This window comes from Homo sapiens, chromosome 18, assembly GCF_000001405.40.
Source record: "Homo sapiens chromosome 18, GRCh38.p14 Primary Assembly".
In the NCBI taxonomy this organism is placed as follows: Eukaryota; Metazoa; Chordata; class Mammalia; order Primates; family Hominidae; genus Homo; species Homo sapiens.
The window spans coordinates 68,765,157-68,789,584 of NC_000018.10; the positions used below are offsets into that span (position 1 = coordinate 68,765,157).

At 34.9% G+C, this 24,428-nt stretch overlaps 1 protein-coding gene across 4 annotated transcripts in view; it reads left to right on the forward strand.

The window, feature by feature from the left end:
• The window catches only part of CCDC102B (coiled-coil domain containing 102B), a 342,906-nt gene that overhangs the window by 49,941 nt on the left and 268,537 nt on the right, over positions 1 to 24,428 (forward strand). The window lies entirely within an intron of this gene.

Sequence of the window (24,428 nt, forward strand, 5' to 3'; positions counted from 1 at the left end):
GAGGCTGCAATAAGCTATAATAGTGCCAACACACTCCAGCCTGGGTGTCAGAGTGAGAATTTGTCAAGAAAGAAAGAAAGAGCGAAAAAGAGCTAAAGAAGGAGGAAGGAGAGAAAGAGAAAGAAAGAAAAGAAAGAAAGGAAGGAAGGAAGGAAGGAAGGAAGGAAGGAAAGAAAGAAAGAAAGAAAGAAAGAAAGAAAGAAAGAAAGAAAGAAAGAAAGAAAAGAAAGAAAGAAAAGAAAGGAAGGAAGGAAGGAAAGAGAAAGAGAAAGGAAAGAAGGAAGGAAGGAGAAAGAGGAAGAAAGAGAGAGAAAGGAAGGAAGGAGAGGAAGAAAGAAAGAAGAAAGCAAGAAAGAAAGAGAAAGAAATAGAAAGAGAAAATAAGTGGAAGCCAAAGGGACTATAGTAATTTTTAAATTTACATAATCTATCTCCTTATAGCCCCTTTTGGAATCATTCTGTAGATTTGCTTATACCATTATATACATCAGTAACATTTAGCAAGAACAAAAATTAATTGACATTGGAAAAAGTGGAAAACATTTGCATCACGGTGATTTGTGTACAGGGTTATTAGCATGGCTTCTCAGATATAATCATTACTTAATATTCTATCAACCATATTTAATATAACATATATGATTCTTAGACTTATTCTGATGTAACTCATACTTTTTCTTTCTTTCTTTCTTTTTTTTAGTTTTCTAGACCCAGCTGATGCACATGTGTGACTCTCATGATTGCTAGTGAGATTTTCAAATGTAATCATTATCTGGAATGTTATGTCTTTTAAGGACATAGCAGTTTTGGCTTGTTAGGAAAGACTGAAAATCCAATTGAACAAAATTTTCCATAAAAAATTTTAAAACATATTAATTCATAGGAGATAAGAATTAACCATAGATACATTCAAGTAGCAATTTAAGGTGTCAATTATTTTGATTCCTATTTTTGCAATGTCTAAGTTTATTCTTAAATATCATAATACATGTATCTATCTTTCTCTTTTCTTAGAATCATGCAGTAAAATAGAGATGGGTGATTAAATAACTCCTAGGACAAAGAAGCAAGATTAGAAATAGGGCTACTTCTGCTTCTGTGGTCCATTAGCAGACAAAGTGCTGTATAAAAACAGTAAAACAAGGACTACATTACTGAAATTTGAGGAAAGTAACACATCCTGCATCTGACCCAGTGATATGTCCATATATCATTCCCTAAAATCAGGTCTTACAGTTTTTAGTTAATCTTTGCAAAAATTCCCGAGAAATGTGCAGGTTTAAGAAGTGGAAATTCTTACCCACGTCAAGTGTGGGATGAGGACAATGGGTTGGCAATGGATGGACAGTGCTTAAGTATTCGTTATATCTGGTCCACCAAAATCCATAGACAATCATTCATTTAGTCCTTAATAAGGCACTGTGTTTCAAATCTGAAGTAACTGGCAGCAGATCATACAGCACAGGAATTTCCAAGTACTGTTCTGAGTCAGAGTAATTCCTGAGTCTGGTGGCCCCTTTCTTTATCTTTTCATTTTGGATACTTTGTTTTGCCAGCTGAGAAATACCTTTCCAAGGAAATCAAAAGGTATGAGTCTGGCTGGTGTGCCACAGGCCTCAGTTGAAACTGACATATTAGATAGTCAAGAGGTAATAGCTCAGAGAAAGCAAAATTATGAGTTTGGGAATTAAAAGAAAATGATACTGTTTTGAACTTTTATAATTTTTTTTGTAAGATCTGGTACATATTACTTCATTATTTTACATAACACTGATTGAAGAGGCAAAGATAAATGCTGTTTTTCCCCATTTCGTGGATAAGAATGTTAAAACAGAGATATTAAACTGAAATACACACTTCGGTAAATGCAGATTATAAAACTGGAAATGTAATATGCTCCTTGAAATAATTTTGAAGGTAGTATTTTCTCTTACTAGCTGGGTAAAATCCATACTAGGCTAAAATTCACTGTTATGTAGAACTTGGCATTCTGTTTCTGCTTTGCTGTTAATTTACTGAAGTGAGGAAACTCATTTCTTGTAGTGTTATGGACTGAATGTATGTGTCCTCCCAGACCTCATATGTGAAGCTCTAACCCTTGGGAGGTAAGGCCTTTGGGAGGTAATTAATCTTAAATGAAGTCATGATGGGGGAGCTCCTATAACGAGGTTAGTGCCATTTTAAGAGGAAAACACCAGAGCCTTCTTTCTGGGCCATGTGAGGATAGAGCCAGCTGGCAGCTGTCTGCAAGCCAGGAAGAGAGCCCTCACTAAGAAGGAATCCACTGTCACCTTGTTCTCAAGACTTCTGACCTCCAGAACTGTGAAAAATAAATGCTTGTTGTTTAAGCTTTCCAGTCAGTGGTATTCTGCTATAGCAGCCCAAGCTGATGAAAACGCTTGTAGATCCACATTATACTGACCAAAGTTGCTTCATACATGATACTAGAACCTCATGCAAACGATCTTTACTATGATTTTTAGAAGCAGTAAAAGGTCATAGTATCTCTCTGAAAAGCTCATTCATATCATTATACATATTTTACAAAGAATAGTGTAATAATAGTTGCTTATGGTCATATAAAATTTTACACAAAAATTTATCAAGATTTATGTTAAATATATTCAAGTTTTTCTTCCACAAAATACATTTTAGTAAAAGGTGAATCATTTATGACAAAATATGTGCAAGTGTTTTTCAAATTGTTATTTATTTATTTATCTTAGGTATATTGAATGAATGAAGAATTAAAATTTGGATTTCCAGTCATTATGATTATACTTATATATAGTTTAAGAATAAAATATAAAAATGATAGTAGTTGAAACATTTATTTTTGGAGGTTGACATTTTTCTAAATCTTTTTTTGTGGTTTGTCAATCATCAATATGCAATTTAAACTATCAGGCTAATTTATTACAACTGGTAATCACATAATGAATAGCATTACAAATCCATTCTCTAATGGAAGTCTATAGCAATTTACAATCAGAGAAGAACTTTAAAGAATAAAGTTATTGATTCCCTGTTGCATAATAGGAATTATTAAACCAATAATAAACCAAGGTCTCCTCTGAAGGCAGCAAAGACAGATGGATTTCACTATCATAGGGACAGTAGTTATTCCCCTAATGATAGCCTTTTCCAGGGTTTAACTGCATATTCTGCCAGAGGATACTCTTGGTTTCACCATTTATATTCTAATTTTCAGATCAGAAGAGCAGCTGGTAAATATCACTTAGAATAAACTTTCTATACTTAAACATGTACAGTCATGACATTATTCTTTGTCTTCTTCCAGGGGTCTGAAGCTGAGTGCCTTATTGATCTTATATTCTCTTATTTTGCATTACTGATTACTTTCCTATGAAACATTGCACAATTTATAAATTATTTAGCATGTAACTACTCAATAGCAAATTATAATATTTAGTTACCAAAGTCAAAATCACAGAAGTTCAATATAGTGAGATTTGATATTTTTGTTTAATGTAAATTAAATATGTATGAGCAAATTATTTTTCTTGCCTCAAAATACCATATAAGCTATACTTTTAGGTTAAAACTATATAAATAGATATATCAATATTTATTTCTTATTTTATTTAATTAATATTTATTGGATTAGTATGCACTGAACATATAAGATATAGTGTTTACTCTGTCAAGTAGCTTTCAGGCTGATGAGGGAAATATGGATAAGAATTTCTTAAACTATTATAACAAGTAATGGAAGTTATCACAAAGGCATAATTTTAACTAGAAGAAAGGGGAATGAGGTAGCAAGGAAGGTGAAATGTAAAGATGGAATTGATGGCTGAATTCGGTGGTTCACGCCTGTAATCCCAGCACTTTGGGAGGCCGAGGCAGGTGGATCACCTGAGGTCAGGAGTTCAAGACCAGCCTGACCAACATGGAGAAACCCCATCTCTACTAAAAACACAAAATTTGCCGGGCATGGTGGTGCATGCCTGTAATCCTAGCTACTCAAGAGGCTGAGGCAGGAGAATGGCTTGAACCTGGGAGGCGGAGGCTGCGGTGAGCCGAAATCGTGCCATTACATTCTAGCCTGGGCAACAAGAGTGAAACTCCACCTCGAAAAAAAAAAAAAAAGATTGAATCGATGGGTAAATATATTTTTCATAAGCACAGAAGGGGATGAAAGCTATTATAAGTATGCTCTTCCCATCAGGAAGGCTTCACCTACTTGATCTCATCTAACCCTTATTACCTCCCAAAGGCCCCATCTCCAAATAACATCATATTGGGGGTTAGAGGTTCAACATATGAGTTTAAAGGGTACACAATTAGGTCCATAGCACACCTCATCTTCTGCTTTTCTCCTCTCATTTTCTCCAACCCTACGGTTCCTCCTGGAATGATCCCTAGATAACCTCCCTCCAATCAAAGCCTTGGGCTCTGATTTCAACAAGAAACCAGAGTAACTAGTTGGCAGTGGAAAACATACTCTCAACACGGGATTGCAAAACTCACTGGCAGCTAGGCAAGAAGACTGTGAGTAGTAATAAGGAAGGCTATGAGTTACCAAAAAAAAAAGCAAGATCTCTTCCAATAATCTGAAAGTAATTCTTCTGGCTAAGATACACAGACCGATGCTAAAATCAAAAACTGAGGCTGTAGAGATAGAATGGGAACAGATTATGTTGATCCTTAAAGGACATATTGAACTGTTTGGCTTTTCTCCTGAAACAAATGAGAAAGCACTGAAGGATTTTAAGCTGTAGAACAATATGGTCATATTTGCATTGAATATATTAGGATGAGGAACAGATTAGAGAGGAATAGGTTGCAGTAAGGGAGTATTCCAGGAGGTGGGTATAGAGGCTACTTCATTAGTCCAGCTGGAAAAGATGATAGCTTGGACTAGGTGTTGGAAGCAGAGACCATATGAACTTTTCTAAAACCTTAAAGAAGAGCATCTCCACATTTAATGAAAGATTTGATCAGATGACTATAGTGGCTCCTCTGCATACACCTTTGAGGGACCATGTGAATATTTCACTAAGAGGTAAGAAATCTCTTGTTAAAGAAATCATGATTTCCTTAAGTTTCTTTTGCTTTTAAATCTCCACTAGTTGATGCAATACAAGAAAAACAAAACACCTAGTTGTGTATTCCACATAGTATCAGTCAGCTACTGCTGCCTAACAAACATTTCAAAATTCCAGTGGCATACAAAAATTAGCATTTATTTCTTATGTATCCATGTGTCAGTTGATCTAGACTAAATACTTAATTTCTTTTAAGACATGGGCTTAGAAATAACAAGGTGCAACTTACCTTATTCCACTGGATAAGACAAGTTTATTGAATTGGGGAAGTGTACTCTGCTTCCATGACGCCAAGGCAAGGTTGTGGATGCATCCTCCTACCTCAGAGGGGGGAGAATTGTGGCTAATAATTCAACCTATGGTGAAAAATTAACTAGATCATATTCTGCTCAGTAAAACCTGAAAGATTTTCAGCAATTCCTTTCACTGCAGTTCTTCCTGTACCATTTAGTCAAAAGTGATTTATTCCTGTGTACATTGTTTTTAATAGGATGGTTGATGCATTTTATTACAAGGAAGCCTGTGTAATTTTGTAAAGTTTTTCTTAAATCTCAAAGTTGTAATATATCTTGATGCATAAGAGCCAGGCTTTGTAGAAGAAAGAAGAAAGAATTTTCTGTGAATTTAACAAGCTGAGTTTTACAGATTTAGAGCGAAGCTCAGAGTACTCAGCATGGTGTTTTAAACCATCAAAGGAAGAATATTTAATATGGTAAAATACCAAATACTGCATCACCCTGAAAGAAACAGAAGTTCAATCAGTAGGTTAAAATAAATGGTTCTGCAGGGACCTAGATTGATATTAATGCTGATAGAGTAAGGAGACCTTTCAACTGAGAAGATAGATTTGGGGAATTCCCAGATTTGGGATCTTGTGCCTGACCTTCCAAAATGCAACAGGCAAAACAACATAAAATCTGTTTACATTATCAATGGCTGCATGGTGGTGTTTAGGTAAATGGTCCTGCAGGCAGCTCCATAGTTTTGATACACTCCAGGGTGATGTGGTCAAAGCAACCAAGACTTCCCAAGCCCTGCAAAGGGGAGAGGATGTTCTTTGGAGATACGTTGGGTCAGGATGAGAAAATGTAGACTATGTGACTAGTCAAGATAAGAAGCTGTAAGAGGGACTGGTGATACCTGTGGCATGTATCACTTCTAAACATGTAAAATCATCAGGGACGTAGTGTGTCAGGGTGCAAAATAACGATGACTGAACATGGCCCAGGGGTTAGATACTCACCTCTTCATCTCAGGATAAATACAAGTCACACACACTTAACTACTTAACTGCCTCACCTTATCTTGCTCTCTGGGGTTTAGGTAACCCTTATGAAAAAGGAAAGGATAAGGAGGTTTGGAGAAATCTTGGGACCACTTCTCTGTAAGCGAGGAGCGGTAAGGGCTAGAGAGCATGGGCCTTGAAATTGTGCAGACATGTGGCTGTGGATACATTTGAATATCTGCTAACAGAATATCAATTTTCAACTGCAATGTGACTGAGTTGCCTTGAATTGGGAAAAATAAGAGCTTTCAGCCATCAGTGAAAGTAGGGGTTAAAATCAAGGTCACTTAGAAGCTGAATTTACTTATAAAAAGAGAGACTTACATTTATGTACATATGAGTTGTTACTCTGAAATACACACACACACACACACACACACACACACACACACACATCTTCTGGAAATAAAGATTGTCAAGATACTTATCTGGTCAGAGTCTCTTAGGTAAATAGGTCTTTCCTGTTTCCAAATGTTTTAGAATTATTGTTTCACCATGCACTTTTAAAAATCTTTATAATTTCATTTCTACACATTTCCAAGGTGAGTGATAAATGTAATAAAATGCAAAGTCAAATGTAAGGAGGAGCAGCATCAAATTCTTCTCCCATGATGACAAAGATCCAAAAGTTCTCAACCCCAAATTTGAACACCTTGAACTGTCAATCAAAATTAGAAATTGCCAGAGCCTTGTACAAAATCTAGTATCGTTTAACACAATGACTTTTTTTTTACTCAGTGAATTTTTGTACTGAAATCTTTTTTGTTGCCAGCACAAGGTGAAATGGAAAGTTGGAAATAATATGAAAAGCTGGTAGCATAGGCAGCCAAACCAAATAATTAAAACAAAATCATACTCAGCAACATATTTTTGGAACTTGTAGAGTACAAATTATCTGCAGCTGTGAATAACTTCTAATATTTAAGTAATGAGTGAAATTTTTACTTCTTGACCCAAACTGTCGAGCTTGGCTCTCTTCATAAGATCTATGGCCAACTTTCTGTTTTGCTTTGAACTTTACAGGTTTGGGCAAAATCTGGACTCTTAAGAAACGAGAGAATTCTAGTTCTTTTGTAAAATTAAACTGTCCTATTTAAAAAGTTCTTTTGTTATTCCTTGATAGATGTTATCTCTTGATAAATTATTTAAATTGATAAAATGTTAATTTTATGTTTACTTGGAAATTGAAATTTAGAAATAATTTATCTAGCCCAAGGAAAGAAGGAATGTTAGCAGAGTATAGCCAGACTTTTCTCCATCACTCTAAACAGACTAATTAAAAGAATGGCTTTAGTATTTTATCTGGGAGTGTTCAGTGAAACCCTTTTCCAGAGTTCTCTATAGTTTACCAGAAAAATTTCAGAAAGAAAGAATATAAAGGACATGAAAACTATGAGAAGAGAGAGAAATAGCAAACCAGTGTGAGTCTGTAAAAGGGAGTTAAAGCTTTCTGGTTAAGTGGTAAGAGGGCAAATGAATGTTACAAAGTTTTAATTCCTGAGACATAAACCATAAAAAGCTGAATATAAAATAGAAGCTAGAAAGTTAAGAAAGGATTCAATCAATACCACCATGCCCTCAAAAACATGTCATTAGCCATAATAATTTATTCCAAACAAAGGTATTTTCATTCTTGGAAACAACATTTTCAAAACTAGAAAAAAAAAATGCCAAGTCAAAAGAATCGGATTGAGTTCCTTCTTTTAGAGGATGTCAACAGCTGTAAATAATTTGCACTCCAAAAGTTATAAGAATGTGTCTGAGTGAAATAGTATAATAGTAACATGGCAGAGGAGCCTGGGAGAAAGGAAAGGTTAATTTAATATGCTCTGAAATATCCAAGAAGTTAGTTTGCTTCATATGCAGTAAAGAGAAGATCAAGTTTATCTAAAATGAAGTTTTTAAAAAGTTACTCTTCTCTGACTTATTTTTTCCATAACACAGTTTTATTTACTGTACGTACTGGAATTTATAAAAAATTAAATGACTAAATTGCCTCGTTATATTGTACCCTAATATAAATGTATTTTAATTGTAAATTAGTACTTAAATATGATTGGTTTTGAAGCACTGCTTAAAATAATTTTATTTGTTAAAATTGAATACAATTTTCCTTTTTAATAAAAGCTATATTTTTCAAGTACGTAAAATGCAAAGTATATTATATTACTTATTGGCTATCATTAAGACTAACGGTTTTGGGAGCTATAAAATCATTATTTAATTTTAAAAGATAGTTGTCTGAAATATAAACATGTTGACTTGTCTTAAAATATTTGGGTGGCAAAACACCCAAATGGTATGACTGATTTCTTGAACAATGAAAACAATAATAACACCATGAAATAGTCAAATATTTATATTAACTCAGTCACACATTTTACCCAAAATTGAAATTTTGCTTGTGCTTAAGAGTAAAAACATTTGCAAAAATGTATGCCTTTTCTTTCAATAGTACCTATAATTTGTTGAAGGGTTATGTAAAAGTGATCATAATATCATTAGTTTAAAAATATGCCATACAAGAAACACACACACACAAATTAAAAATTAGGCAGGTGGTTTACTAACATTCTGCAATAGGCACCTTTGAAGTTATAATTTTTATTCATACTGAAATTGTTCCTTTTTAATCTTAGTATCTTTCAATGGGAAATGATATTTTGAGACAACTCTGGGTGTTAGGGGTTGTCTTTGATACTGGATTTGTCACTATTCCTAACTTTTTTCACTTAACAAAACTAGAGTATATAAATGTATATGTATATGTTTATAAATAAGTATAGTTTTATATAATAATTATATATGTATTTATATACAGTGCAGAATGGAGTCACATTGATGCTTCCATTCAAAATCAGGACCAGGGTTTCTATTAAACTCTTCAGTCTCACATCTGTATCTCTTTTCTCCGTGTTGCAAATCCTGGTTCTTGACAACAGCAGGAATGGTAGCATTAGCTTATCATGGTCCACAAAATTTCTCATTTGCTTTATCTGTAATATACACACAACAGTCTCAGAATAACAATGTCAACACTACCACCAAGAATATGATTACAGAAAATAACTAAATATTTTACAGCTATTTTTGTCAAATTATTGTGATTTAAATAACTTAGGATTATTGATCACTGTGTGTCTACATGCCACTAACTGAATACATGTTTAAGCTCAATTGCTTAGTTTCATTTTAGAATTTTAGAGATTGATTTATTTTTAATGTAATTTTACATGGTCTCAAAGTTGAAACTACAAAAGAGGTAAAATCAAAATTTAACTTCTATTCTTTACTCTTCATTTAATAATCCTAATAGTTGTCATTTTAAAATATTATCATTTACTTTTAATTTTAATATATATTAATAACATAATCAGTACCACTTATACTTTTCATTTGAAATATTATAGTTTTTCCATTTATTTTAACATATTATACATAAAAGAGTTAAAATATATGCTATATACATATTTGTATATGTACACATAATCATGTGTTGCCTTTCTTCTTTTCTGTTTTTTTTTTGTTTTGTCTTTTCACTTTGTATTCTAGACATCACTTTATAGTCACATATAGAAATATCCCTCATTCTTTTTTACAACTGGAGATTATGTTGATATGCTACTAGTTATTCATCACTTCTAATATTGACAGATATTTGTGCTATTTCTAACATAGACTTTTAAAATAATTTTTGCAATGAATGACCTTCTTATACATTTTTTGTATTTTCACCAGTTTACCTTTGTTATATATTTTTTAAAGTGGCAATATTGCTACATGAAAAGTAAAGGTATATTTAATTTTGCTAGATAGTGAGAAATTCCTTTTATTATATAAGGTCATTTTCAGTTGTTTAGTTAGTGTTTGATTTAGATAAGATCTATACATTGTGTTTGCTTGATATGTATTTTGTCTCTTTTCCCTTGACATTTATTTATTGTTATAACCAAGTATGGAATTTAATTTTTTCCTCTTCTCTATATTTCTTATACATGAAATGATAGATTTAGAGGTTTAATCTCACTTAGGTTTTCTTGGCAAGAATACTACACAGGAAATGCTGGTATTTCCATCAGGAAACGTGAAAAATAGATTGCTTTCCTTATGTGATGCTAGTAGGCATCGATAACTCCTGGATTTTTTTTTTTTTTTTTTTTTTAAGGAGTCTTGCTCTGTCGCCAGGCTGGAGTGCAGTGGCGTGACCTCGGCTCACTGCAACCTCTCCCTCCTGGGTTCAAGTGATTCTCCTGCCTCAGCCTCCTGAGTAGCTGGGACTACAGGCGCCCGCCACCACGCCCAGCTAATTTTTGTATTTTTAGTAGAGATGGGGTTTCACCATGTTGGCCAGGATGGTCTCAATCTCCTGACCTCGTGATCTGCCTGCCTTGGCCTCCCCAAGTGCTGGGATTACAGGCGTGAGCCACAAAGCCCGGCCCCTGGATTCTTTATTAATTCATGATATGCAGAGTGATGATACTCTAATTCTACTGTAATATATCTTTGATTATTTCTTCTCTCTGTTCTCTGTGTCCATTTTTGGGCATTATGAGTAGATGACTGTTGTATATTTCCACATTGTCCTGTACATTTCTTAACCTCTATTTCATAGTTTCCATCTTTTTTATCTGTGGAGTGTATTCTGGGTTTTTCTTTGGCTTATATTTTCAAGTTCACTAATTGTCACCTCAGTTGGGTATAATCTGCTTATTAACCATTTCCAATTAATTTTGAAAATTTCAATCATTTAGTTTTTATATTTAGAATTCCTATTTATTTAAAAACTACTTGGACATTTTTCATAATTTCTTGACTTTGCTATATTTTTAAGATATAAAGACACACGCATGTGAGTGTTCCTTGTAGCACTCTTCACAATAACAAAGACACGGAATCAACCTAAATGTCCATGAATAGAAAACAGAATAGAGAAAATGTGGTACATATACACCACGGAATACCATGCAGCCACAAAAAAGAATGAGATCATGTCCTTTGCAAAGACATGGATGCAGCTGGAGGTCATTATCCTTAGCAAACTAACTCAGGAACAAAAAACAAAATCTCGCATGTTCTCACTTATAAGTGGGAGCTAAATGATGAAAACACATGAACACAAGGGAACAACACACACCGTGGCCTGTCAGAGGGTGGAGAGTGGGAGGAGGGAGAGGATCAGGAAAAATAACTAATGGGTAATAGGCTTAATACCTGAGTAATGAAATAATCTGTACAAAAAAAAACCCTATGACACAAGTTTACCTATGAAACAAACCTGCATATGTACCCCTGAACTTTAAAGTTAAAAAAAGACTTATTGATACACATTGAAAATAATTATTTCTGGTTAGTCTCAAAGAATTCTAATACATAAACTTTTTGTAGTTTTTATTGTATTACCATTTTTTTCCCGCATTTCACTCCTTACATCCTTTGTGGTACTTATATATTGTGTCTCTGTGTGTGTTTGGCTGTGCAGATAATTTTCCTTGGAATTTTACCTATAGGAAATATTTGTGATCTTGGTTGAATTTATTTACATCAGTTCCGTGGGGAAATTTTGAACTCAAAACCATTTAAAAATAATTTTGCTGAGAACTTTTTGATTAAGCAGGTAGCATGAAGTAGAGCTGCAAACTCGTAACAGGTTCAGCTTGTGTTTCCATGTTTTAAAGGACTATTTCTCCCTTCAACACTCAATACAAGATCAAGACGTACACATGTCTTTGCTGTATCTTTCTTCTCAGTAGGTGAATTGATCATTGACTTTTAGTCTCAAGTTATAGTTATTTTGGATTTCCACTTTTATATGAGGGTCTGTGCTGTTGGAGTCCCACATTGTCAGTTTCTAGGCTTTCTCTCCTCTCTCTTAGGCCCTGAGAAGTCCTCAAAATGGGAGTCAAAGTTACCAATTTTAGGCAAATACCTTCACAATGAAAGTTGACTTTAGCACTCTTTTTCTCCTTGATTTCTAACTTTCACTTCATGTTGGGCCTAATAATTCTTAGTTTCCTTACAGATCAACAAAATGTTATTTCTCCTTTTATTCTAGCTACTTAAAATCTTTTTCTTGGCATGGGTTAAAGGGGGTATTTAGATCTCTATGCTTGCAGAAAAAGAAACTATGTTATGGTATATGGAATTTTAAAATTGGTATAAATGATAAGCTATTCAAGTAAAGGAATTACTATGTCATGTGCCTCAAATTAAGCAGATTAAAGAGTAACTCGAAGAGAGTCTTGCCTGGAAGTAAATAAACAAATAAACAGAAATAACTAAGAACAGTTTCCTAAATATGTCAGATACAGTGATTGCAATTGTTTTTCAAGGGAGAGAAGAGATTCAAGGTTGACAAGTATATTGCAATGAATCAAATGGGAAATTTTCTTCGATTTTTAAAGGAAGATTCCCATTACTTGCTGTTAGGTTACAGGTACTAGATTCAAAATTAGTTTAGAAACTATAGAGCTTGCATAAGGGTATTCATTAAACCACTGATCCATAAGTTTAACAAGTGAGGTAACATTTTCAGGCAAGGAAATGGGAGACATAACCCAAGACCAGCACCTACAATCTAACAGCAGAACAACTTTATGACCGTCAGATGTGCTTGGGACTCTAGAAGAGAGTCAACGTTTTCCCTCTCCATATTCCAAACTGTCGTAGTATATTTCTTTTAATTAATGGCTAAAGTTACTGGTTACTGAGTTCAAAATCTCTCTTTGCCAGAAAAGGAACTTTCTTAATTTTCCAAAAACAACACCATCCATCTTTTTCTAAGATTTGCCATTTCTTTTTCATCAACTAATTTGCTCTTTAGGAATTCATATTTGATTTCTACCATTTCTGTATAAGTTTGATTGCCAGAAATCCTTTCTTTTAGCTCTGACACTATTACATTTATAATTGAGTAGCTGCAACACTGTTTTATGTGAGATGTACCCGGTTTTAGTTTGCCGTCTCAGCAGATATTGCTGATTCAGAGATAAACAGGATTTTGGATGTCATCAGGTCAAATCTTTTTTTTAAAAATAAGTAGTGAACAAACAAAGACTAAGTCACAGTGAATTGAGAAACTTTCCCTAAAGTCACTCAGTTAACTGAAATATGTTTATGTTAAAAAATTCCCAAATCCCGCATGCATAACTGATTGAATAAATCATATGCTTATTCAAAGAGCATTTATTGAAAACCAAATGCTTATCAAGCTAATGTGCTGGGAACTGGGGATAAAAAGGTGAACAGGGCATGGGAACTGCTTTGAAGGAATTCAGACTTGGGGAAGCAGAACCATGAAGAAATAGTGATGACTTCTGGTCAAAGTGATTTCTAGTTATAATCTACAATGATGAAAAGGAAGAAAACCAGAAAAAAAAAAAAAAACTGTGAAAACCTAGTACCAGAATTTTGAAGTGAAGACTCTTAAAAGGTAAATAGGGTGGGTATATGAAAAAGGAACCTGACTTATTCTAAATTTGGATAGAGGTTATTCTGAATAATAATAAGAAGGTTCGTTATGCATTCCTGTTTAACGACACACACTATCCAGAGAACTGGACAGCCATCCTTTTTTCTACGAGGTTGACAGATGTTCCCAAATACCTTGCCCTCATCTCCCAGTAGCTTGATAAACAAAAAATAAAAATGCCCAAAATTTACTCTGCTAGGAAATTTATGTGCATACACACGTGTTTGTGTTTTTATAGGTGTGTGAGCTGACAGAGCAGCAGGAAATTATGAGATGTATAGTCCTCACCAGGAGAGAACTATAGGAAGTAGGCCAACAGGAAACCTAGTAGCATAGATGCTGGGGATTATATTTTTTCCTTGTACCATGTTGCTTAAGGCCACATAGTCTAAGGATTGCTTAAGTCAAAGATTGCGTAAGCATAGCACAAAGATTGCTTAGTACAAAATTGCTTAAGGCAATTGAAAAGTATGAAGAAAATAATAAAGATTCATTTATATTTTAAAATCTCACCTTTCTTTTGTATTTTCATAGAAATTCAATAATGTACATCACATGTTAGCACAACAATACGTCATTATATTTATAAATAAATTCAGTACATTTATTTATGTCATGAGTTCTTACGGAATATAATTTGATGATTGTTGCACAATCAAAAATGTTTGGAGACCATTAAAGTAGAGAAGCAGAAAATCATGCAGTGAGGAAAGGAAAAAATCTAAAAAATATAGGTGACTGTAGAGATGAGTTACATTATTGATTCTACAGAGGCTTGCTATTGATTATAAGGAGCTCTGATAGCTTAGGCAAACTTGCTGCCTCACACATGGGTTGATTTTTTAAAAAGAAAACAATTGTATTGAGCTATAATTCACATACCATACATTCCACCCATTTAAAATGTACAGTTCAATAGTTTTAGTATATTCACAAAATTGTGCCACCATCATCACAATCAGTTTTAGAACACTTTTATCAACCAAGATAAAATAAAATTAAGAAAGAAACCCTGTGTGCATCAGCAGTCACTCCTGATCTCTCGCTATCCTCAACTGTAGGCAAACAATTATCTACTTTCTATCCTTATTTATTTGCAGATTCTGCACATTCTATATAAATGAATTATACAATACGTTGTTTTTTTCACTGACTTCTTTTACTTATCATAATGTCTCCTAACTTTCTCAATGTTTTAGCATGCATCAGTACTTTATTGCTTTTTATTGTTGAATTATATTCTATTGAATTTATGTGCCATGATTTCTTTGTCCATTCCTCAGTGAAAGGGTTGTTTCTACTTTTTGGCCATTATGCATAATGCTGCTATAAACATTTGTGTACAAGTGTTTGTGTGAATGTAGGTGTTTATTTCAGTACAATTTTAATTTTGGGGAACTGCCAGACTATTTTCCAAAGCAGCTGCACCATTTTGCATTCCTCCCATCAATATGTAAGGATTTCACCTCCACATTTTCATCAACACTTGTTTTTTTTTTTTTTGCTTCCATAAAAGTTTATTCACAGACACTAATGTGAATTTCATGATTTTCATGTCATGAAATATATTTTTAATTTGTTTTCAATCATTTTAAAAATCATTTGTTATGTTTTTATAATCTTAGCTATTCCAGTGGAAATAAGGTAGTATCTCCTTGTTGCTTTGATTCACATTTCCTAATGACTAATGATGCTGAGGTTTCCGACAGGTGGATTCTGACAGTTTTAACAAGTCTTTCCGTGTTTCTGGGCCCTACTCTACCATTTTGGCTGATGTTACTTGGATCAGAAACATTTTGCATTCACCTGGAAGGCAGTCTCGTCACAAGTCTGTGTCAACTTTCCTATCCTTCTGTCATTATACAGTCTGAGGAGAATGAAATCAGTGTCAGAACAATAACATAATTATAATCACACCAGATAAGCCAGAAGTGAGTAGAACATTGGAGGGCTTATTAAGACACATGGTCTACAAACTCTGATGGAAAAAACACTATCATATCTCTGAAAGTTTTAGGGATACATAAAAACACATTCAGATTAGTTCATCTTGCAACTAATTAAGCATAGATAAGCATAACTTATCTGTTTTTGTATGTATCATCTGTAATTGTTGTTAGTAACAACATCATGATGTTGTTAGTAATTGGCTAACAACATCATGAAAAGTACAAAACAAAATGCCTTCATTACTTAGCTGATTATGGAGACTGTGAGTGGTAGTCTTCTTTGTGCATATTTATATTTTCTGATTTATTGAAAAGAAACATCTATGACTTATGTAATATATATTAATTTTATACAAGAATACATTTAAGTTCTCAGAAAATTAATAAGAGAAGAATGAGTGGGTGGACAAAGAAATTTGGATATAGAATTTTTTGGCTGAATTCAAGATTCTTTATCTGTAACACAATAATTTTATTAGATTAGTTATTTTCCAAAGTGCTCCTTAGAGTCTGGGGATTCCATGGATGACCTCCAAGGGCCATTGTTGGAGGAAATTAGATGTGAAGAGAGTTTCCAAGTGGGCAGGTATCCAGGCTGTCCTCCAAGAATTAATGGGAGAAGTTTCACTTTTGACATCCGTGACTTCTGTGTAATATATAGTTTAACTCTTAAACAAAAGTTCTCCATTACTTTAAAAACATTTGAAAGCCAATGTGATAAATAATTTCTTAGGTTAATTTTGATTATATGCCATCAAAATATTATTATTTTGTTATTTTAAAAATTGTCTAGAGCTTATCTGGATTTGGCTTGTATAATGATTTGTGGAATAAATAGAAGACAGAAAGATTGGGTTATAAGTATTTAAAATTTTTTTTATAATAACATGTATTGCTGAGCCTTTGTAGATTATTTTAGTTAAAGTGAGAAAATGTTTTAATTTCAATTTTTAAGATCTAAGAGATATAACTAGAATAACAGTCATTGAGGTATTTTTGAGGGTTTCTAGAATTAGACAAATAATGTAAATACTGAAGCTACTTTTATTATAGCTATATTGTGTAAATAATTTCTATCATTTAACCAGAAAGTGAAATTTTCTGATTTCAGTGAATAGGAATGCAATTTCTCTTTGAAGAAGCAATAGCAGTCTTGTTCTTTTACTGCCCTATCAAATACATTATCATCATTGAATTTTCTTAGAAAGATGGTTAATAATGTTTATAGGTCCAAATTTTCATTTTTGTACTTCTAGGATTTGGATTAAATTATGTATTTTTATTCCGCTTATCACCCAAAAGTTTATATTTTTACTTATTTGGTGCATTTTAGAGTTCATGAGGAAAATCAACCTATACACCTCTTTGTCCTTGTTGTGTAGGAATATAATGAAATAAAATCACCTTTCAAATATATATATATATATACACATACACACACACATATAAAAATGTAATGATTTATTCCTTTTCCTCTTCTCTCTCAAAGGTTTTTGAAGTCAATACAAGCTATGTCTGTGTATAGGAAAGTATGCCATGGAAATATTAGTGCTTTATTTAATTAGCTAATTGCACTGCATATTTCTTTTTCATCTGAATGGATATTTTTGCATGTCCTCTGCTTTGACATCAGAGTTATGATATCCTCAGCTTTTTTCGATCTGGATCAGGGGTGCATTACCCTCCTACAGTTCAGAGACACTGTCTTCACTCTCTAATTTCCAGTAGTTGGAAATAAAAGATTTGACTTAATCAGCATTGATTAACCAAAACTAAATGAAATCTTGAGGGAAATTTGTTTGAAAGTGTTTAGAATGAAAATAATATTCATTTTTCATGTTTGTGGTGTTGTGCTAGTCATGTTTCATAATACAGTAAAAATATTCAACATTGTTTCTAAAAGGCAAAGGCCATATTTTAATCACAGGACTGATTAATCAGCACCAAACAAAAACAAAAATTTAACCGTATGTGAGGCCATTCTTTTTTAGTGTAATTGAATGTATGCCATTATTATTATTATTGTTACTATTGTTATTATACCTGCCATTTACATTTAATGAGTGTTTACTATCTGCCAGGCTAGAGATTCTCTTTTGCAGATTCACAATCATCTTTTCAACAACTTACTGGCCTCGTTTTGCAGGTGAGGTAATTGGTATCCAGTGGAGGTTGGTACGATTGGTTCGCTTATTTATCCAGCAGTCCTGGCCTGGGAAGGCTCCTGTTTTCAGTCAGGTTTCCCATTGTGATATGTGGGTGGAGAGCAGGTAATCAGGTTCTAGATGTCCATAATCTAAACATAAGAAGTCTTATTTTTGAGTAGATTCCTTAAGTGTGTTTCACTAGGAGTGGAGAGCCTCTTTCCTTTATTTTTTAGTGCTTGTTGCAGTCTTGAAGTTTCCTAAAACTTTGTGATGTGTCTCTCCCTGTCCCTTGTGCTCATGCTAGGAAGCCTCCTCAGAGAGTGATCTACTTCATTCAAATGTCACTTCTTCCAGCATTAGACTCTGCCGTCCAAGCAGCTGCTGTGTGTGTGAGCAGAGAGAAAAGGTCCCAAGCCCTGTGGTCAGGCAGGCAATGCATTGATAATCCTGATGGTTTATACCTCATTGGTTTGGGTTTACACTGCACTTAGATATTCTACCAGATACTTTGGGAAGACTGACTTTTACCTTGTTGACAGCCTTCTCTTTCAGATATTGGGTGATGTAGTTTCCCATGTTTAGATGTCCCTGTCATCAGTTCCCATATATTTTTGGTGTTTAGAAAGTCCCAAAAATGTCTTGTCTGATTTACATCAGAAGATGTAAATCACCCTTTCTTGATTTCACCATTGTTAGAGGCTTATTTTTAGAGCAAGAGCAATACTTTTATGTTATGGGAAATAGGAGAGGAAACATACTATACGGAGCCTATTATATTAAATTAAAGTCTGCTGATAACATTTATGAGTGTTTTTGAGTATAATTGACTCAGGTTTAACAGTTGATACTCAAGACTAAACTCCATGTTTTACTCTTTCTCAAAAGGAAATTGTATAACAATTCTAATAGTGCGTTTTTCAATCATGACATTTTTCTGTTTCATTTATATGAATTTTTTAAATCCTTAAGCTGCACTGGCTTACCTCACATATGCTCTAAATATTCAGTATTTGTTAAGAGCCATTGTATTAGTACATTCTGGCATTGCTGTAAAGAAATGCCTGGGACTGGGTAATTTATAAAGAAAAGAGGTTAATTGACTCACAGTTCTGTGGGCTGTGCAGGAAGCATGGCAGCTTCTGTTTTGTAGGGGGCAGCGCTCAGAAAAGCTTCCAGTCATGGCAGAAGGCAAAGGGTGAGTGAGGCGTCTCACATGGTGGGAGCAGGAGGAAGAGAGAGAGGGAAGTGACACACATTTTTAAACAACCAGATCTCACGAGAATTCTTATCATGAGAACAGCACCAAGGGGATGGTTGTAAACCATTCATGAAAGATCCACCCCCATGATCCAGTCACCTCCCATCAAACCTCACCTCCAACACTGGGGATTACAATTCGACATGAAATTGGAGTGGGGACACAGATTCAAACCATACCAGCCATCAAACCTGGTTAATGTCATGACTAATTAAATGTAATACTTTAGAAATTCATACCTTATAATAAATGCAATATTGTTTTTATTAAAGAATATGTTTTACCACTCAATCATTATTTATATAGATCCTTGTAATATTAGAAAAGTAATAATTTTCTACATATATACATTTTTAATTCCCAAAATCTCCTTCAGTAAAACATGTGGTCTAACATAAGCAACATGTTAGGATCAAGAACAAACCTAGATCTTTTAGTACTTGGTTCAGATTGTCTTTAAAGCCATAGATTATGCTATCAGCATTACTGTTTTGGTAACTTTTTTTTTTTATTAAAGTTTTAGTGTACTTGTGCACATTGTGCAGGATAGTTACGTATGTATACATGTGCCATGCTGGTGCGCTGCACCCACCAACTCGTCATTTAGCATTAGGTATATCTCCCAATGCTATCCCTCCCCCCTCCCCCCACCCCACAACAGTCCCCAGAGTGTGATATTCCCCTTCCTGTGTCCATGTGATTTCATTGTTCAATTCCCACCTATGAGTGAGAATATGCGGTGTTTGGTTTTTTGTTCTTGCGATAGTTCACTGAGAATGATGACTTCCAATTTCATCCATGTCCCTACAAAGGACATGAACTCATCCTTTTTTATGGCTGCATAGTATTCCATGGTGTATATGTGCCACATTTTCTTAATCCAGTCTATCATTGTTGGACATTTGGGTTGGTTCCAAGTCTTTGCTATTGTGAATAATGTCACAATAAACATACATGTGCATGTGTCTTTATAGCAGCATGATTTATAGTCCTTTGGGTATATACCCAGTAATGGGATGGCTAGGTCAAATGGTACTTCCAGTTCTAGATCCCTGAGGAATCGCCACATTGACTTCCACAATGGTTGAACTAGTTTACAGTCCTACCAACAGTGTAAAAGTGTTCCTATTTCTCCACATCCTCTCCAGCACCTGTTGTTTCCTGACTTTTTAATGATTGCCATTCTAACTGGTGTGAGATGGTATCTCACTGTGGTTTTGATTTACGTTTCTCTGATGGCCAGTGATGATGAGCATTTTTTCATGTGTTTTTTGGCTGCATAAATGTCTTCTTTTGAGAAGTGTCTGTTCATGTCCTTCGCCCACTTTTTGATGGGGTTGTTTGTTTTTTTCTTGTAAATTTGTTTGAGTTCATTGTAGATTCTGGATATTAGCCCTTTGTCAGATGAGTAGGTTGCGAAAATTTTCTCCCATTCTGTAGGTTGCCTGTTCACTCTGATGGTAGTTTCTTTTGCTGTGCAGAAGTTCTTTAGTTTAATTAGATCCCATTTGTCAATTTTGGCTTTTGTTGCCATTGCTTTTGGTGTTTTAGACATGAAGTCCTTGCCCATGCCTATGTCCTGAATGGTAAAGCCTAGGTTTTCTTCTAGGGTTTTTATGGTTTTAGGTCTAACGTTTAGGTCTTTAATCCATCTTGAATTGATTTTTGTATAAGGTGTAAGGAAGGGATCCAGTTTCAGCTTTCTACATATGGCTAGCCAGTTTTCCCAGCACCATTTATTAAACAGGGAATCCTTTCCCCATTGCTTGTTTTTCTCAGGTTTGTCAAAGATCAGATAGTTGTAGATATGTGGCATTATTTCTGAGGGCTCTGTTCTGTTCCATTGATCTATATCTCTGTTTTGGTACCAGTACCATGCTGTTTTGGTTACTGTAGCCTTGTAGTATAGTTTGTTCAGGTAGTGTGATGCCTCCAGCTTTGTTCTTTTGGCTTAGGATTGACTTGGCAATGCGGGCTCTTTTTTGGTTCCATATGAACTTTAAAGTAGTTTTTTCCAATTCTGTGAAGAAAGTCATTGGTAGCTTGATGGGGATGGCATTGAATCTGTAAATTACCTTGGGCAGTATGGCCATTTTCACGATATTGATTCTTCCTACCCATGAGCATGGAATGTTCTTCCATTTGTTTGTATCCTCTTTTATTTCCTTGAGCAGTGGTTTGCAGTTCTCCTTGAAGAGGTCCTTCACATCCCTTGTAAGTTGGATTCCTAGGTATTTTATTCTCTTTGAAGCAATTGTGAATGGGAGTTCACTCATGATTTGGCTCTCTGTTTGTCTGTTATTGGTGTATAAGAATGCTTGTGATTTTTGTACATTGATTTTGTATCCTGAGACTTTGCTGAAGTTGCTTATCAGCTTAAGGAGATTTTGGGCTGAGACAATGGGGTTTTCTAGATATACAATCATGTCGTCTGCAAACAGGGACAATTTGACTTCCTCTTCTCCTAATTGAATACCCTTTATTTCCTTCTCCTGCCTAATTGCCCTGGCCAGAACTTCCAACATTATGTTGAATAGGAGTGGTGAGAGAGAGCATCCCTGTCTTGTGCCAGTTTTCAAAGGGAATGCTTCCAGTTTTTGTCCATTCAGCATGATATTGGCTGTGGGTTTGTCATAGATGGCTCTTATTATTTTGAGATACGTCCCATCAATACCTAATTTATTGAGAGTTTTTAGCATGAAGGGTTGTTGAATTTTGTCAAAGGCCTTTTCTGCATCTATTGAGATAATCATGTGGTTTTTGTCTTTGGTTCTGTTTATATGCTGGATTACATTTATTGATTTGCATATATTGAACCAGCCTTGCATCCAAGGGATGAAGCCCACTTGATCATGGTGGATAAGCTTTTTGATGTGCTGCTGGATTCGGTTTGCCAGTATTTTATTGAGGATTTTTGCATCAATGTTCATCAAGGATATTGGTCTAAAATTCTCTTTTTTGGTTGTGTCTCGGCCCGGCTTTGGTATCAGAATGATGCTGGCCTCATAAAATGAGTTAGGGAGGATTCCCTCTTTTTCTATTGATTGGAATAGTTTCAGAAGGAATGGTCCCAGTTCCTCCTTGTACCTCTGGTAGAATTCGGCTGTGAATCCATCTGGTCCTGGACTCTTTTTGGTTGGTAAGCTATTGATTATTGCCACAATTTCAGATCCTGTTATTTGTCTATTCAGAGATTCAACTTCTTCCTGGTTTAGTCTTGGGAGAGTGTATATGTCGAGGAATTTATCCATTTCTTCTAGATTTTCTAGTTTATTTGCGTAGAGGTGTTTGTAGTATTCTCTGATGGTAGTTTGTATTTCTGTGGGATCGGTGGTGATATCCCCTTTATCATTTTTTATTGCGTCTATTTGATTCTTCTCTCTTTTTTTCTTTATTAGTCTTGCTAGCGGTCTATCAATTTTGTTGATCCTTTCAAAAAACCAGCTCCTGGATTCATTAATTTTTTGAAGGGTTTTTTATGTCTCTATTTCCTTCAGTTCTGTTCTGATTTTAGTTATTTCTTGCCTTCTGCTAGCTTTTGAATGTGTTTGCTCTTGCTTTTCTAGTTCTTTTAATTGTGATGTTAGGGTGTCAATTTTGGATCTTTCCTGCTTTCTCTTGTGGGCATTTAGTGCTACAAATTTCCCTCTACACACTGCTTTGAATGCGTCCCAGAGATTCTGGTATGTTGTGTCTTTGTTCTCGTTGGTTTCAAAGAACATCTTTATTTCTGCCTTCATTTCGTTATGTACCCAGTAGTCATTCAGGAGCAGATTGTTCAGTTTCCATGTAGTTGAGCGGTTTTGAGTGAGATTCTTAATCCTGAGTTCTAGTTTGATTGCACTGTGGTCTGAGAGAGAGTTTGTTATAATTTCTGATCTTTTACATTTGCTGAGGAGAGCTTTACTTCCAAGTATGTGGTCAATTTTGGAATAGGTGTGGTGTGGTGCTGACAAAAATGTATATTCTGTTGATTTGGGGTGGAGAGTTCTGTAGATGTCTATTAGGTCCGCTTGGTGCAGAGCTGAGTTCAATTCCTGGGTATCCTTGTTGACTTTCTGTCTCGTTGATCTGTCTAATGTTGACAGTGGGGTGTTAAAGTCTCCCATTATTAATGTGTGGGAGTCTAAGTCTCTTTGTAGGTCGCTCAGGACTTGCTTTATGAATCTTGGTGCTCCTGTATTGGGTGCATATATATTTAGGATAGTTAGCTCTTCTTGTTGAATTGATCCCTTTACCATTATGTAATGGCCTTCTTTGTCTCTTTTCATCTTTGTTGGTTTAAAGTCTGTTTTATCAGAGACTAGGATTGCAACCCCTGCCTTTTTTTGTTTTCCATTTGCTTGGTAGATCTTCCTCCATCCTTTTATTTTGAGCCTATGTGTGTCTCTGCACGTGAGATGGGTTTCCTGAATACAGCACACTGATGGGTCTTGACTCTTTATCCAATTTGCCAGTCTGTGTCTTTTAATTGGAGCATTTACTCCATTGACATTTAAAGTTAATATTGTTATGTGTGAATTTGATCCTGTCATTATGATGTTAGCTGGTTATTTTGCTCGTTAGTTGATGCAGTTTCTTCCTACTCTGGATGGTCTTTACATTTTGGCATGATTTTGCAGCGGCTGGTACTGGTTGTTCCTTTCCATGTTTAGTGCTTCCTTCAGGAGCTCTTTTAGGGCAGGCCTGGTGTTGACAAAATCTCTCAGCATTTGCTTATCTGTAAAGTATTTTATTTCTCCTTCGCTTATGAAGCTTAGTTTGGCTGGATATGAAATTCTGGGTTGAAAATTCTTGTCTTTAAGAATGTTGAATATTGGCCCCCACTCTCTTCTGGCTTGTAGCGTTTCTGCCGAGAGATCTGCTGTTAGTCTGATGGGCTTCCCTTTGAGGGTAACCCGACCTTTCTCTCTGGCTGCCCTTAACATTTTTTCCTTCATTTCAGCTTTGGTGAATCTGACAATTATGTGTCTTGGAGTTGCTCTTCTCGAGGAGTATCTTTGTGGCGTTCTCTGTATTTCCTGAATCTGAACGTTGGCCTGCTTTGCTAGATTGGGGAAGTTCTCCTGGATAATATCCTGCAGAGTGTTTTCCAACTTGGTTTCATTCTCCCCATCGCTTTCAGGTACCCCAATCAGACGTAGATTTGGTCTTTTCACATAGTCCCATATTTCTTGGAGGCTTTGCTCATTTCTTTTTATTCTTTTTTCTCTAAACTTCCCTTCTCGCTTCATTTCATTCATTTCATC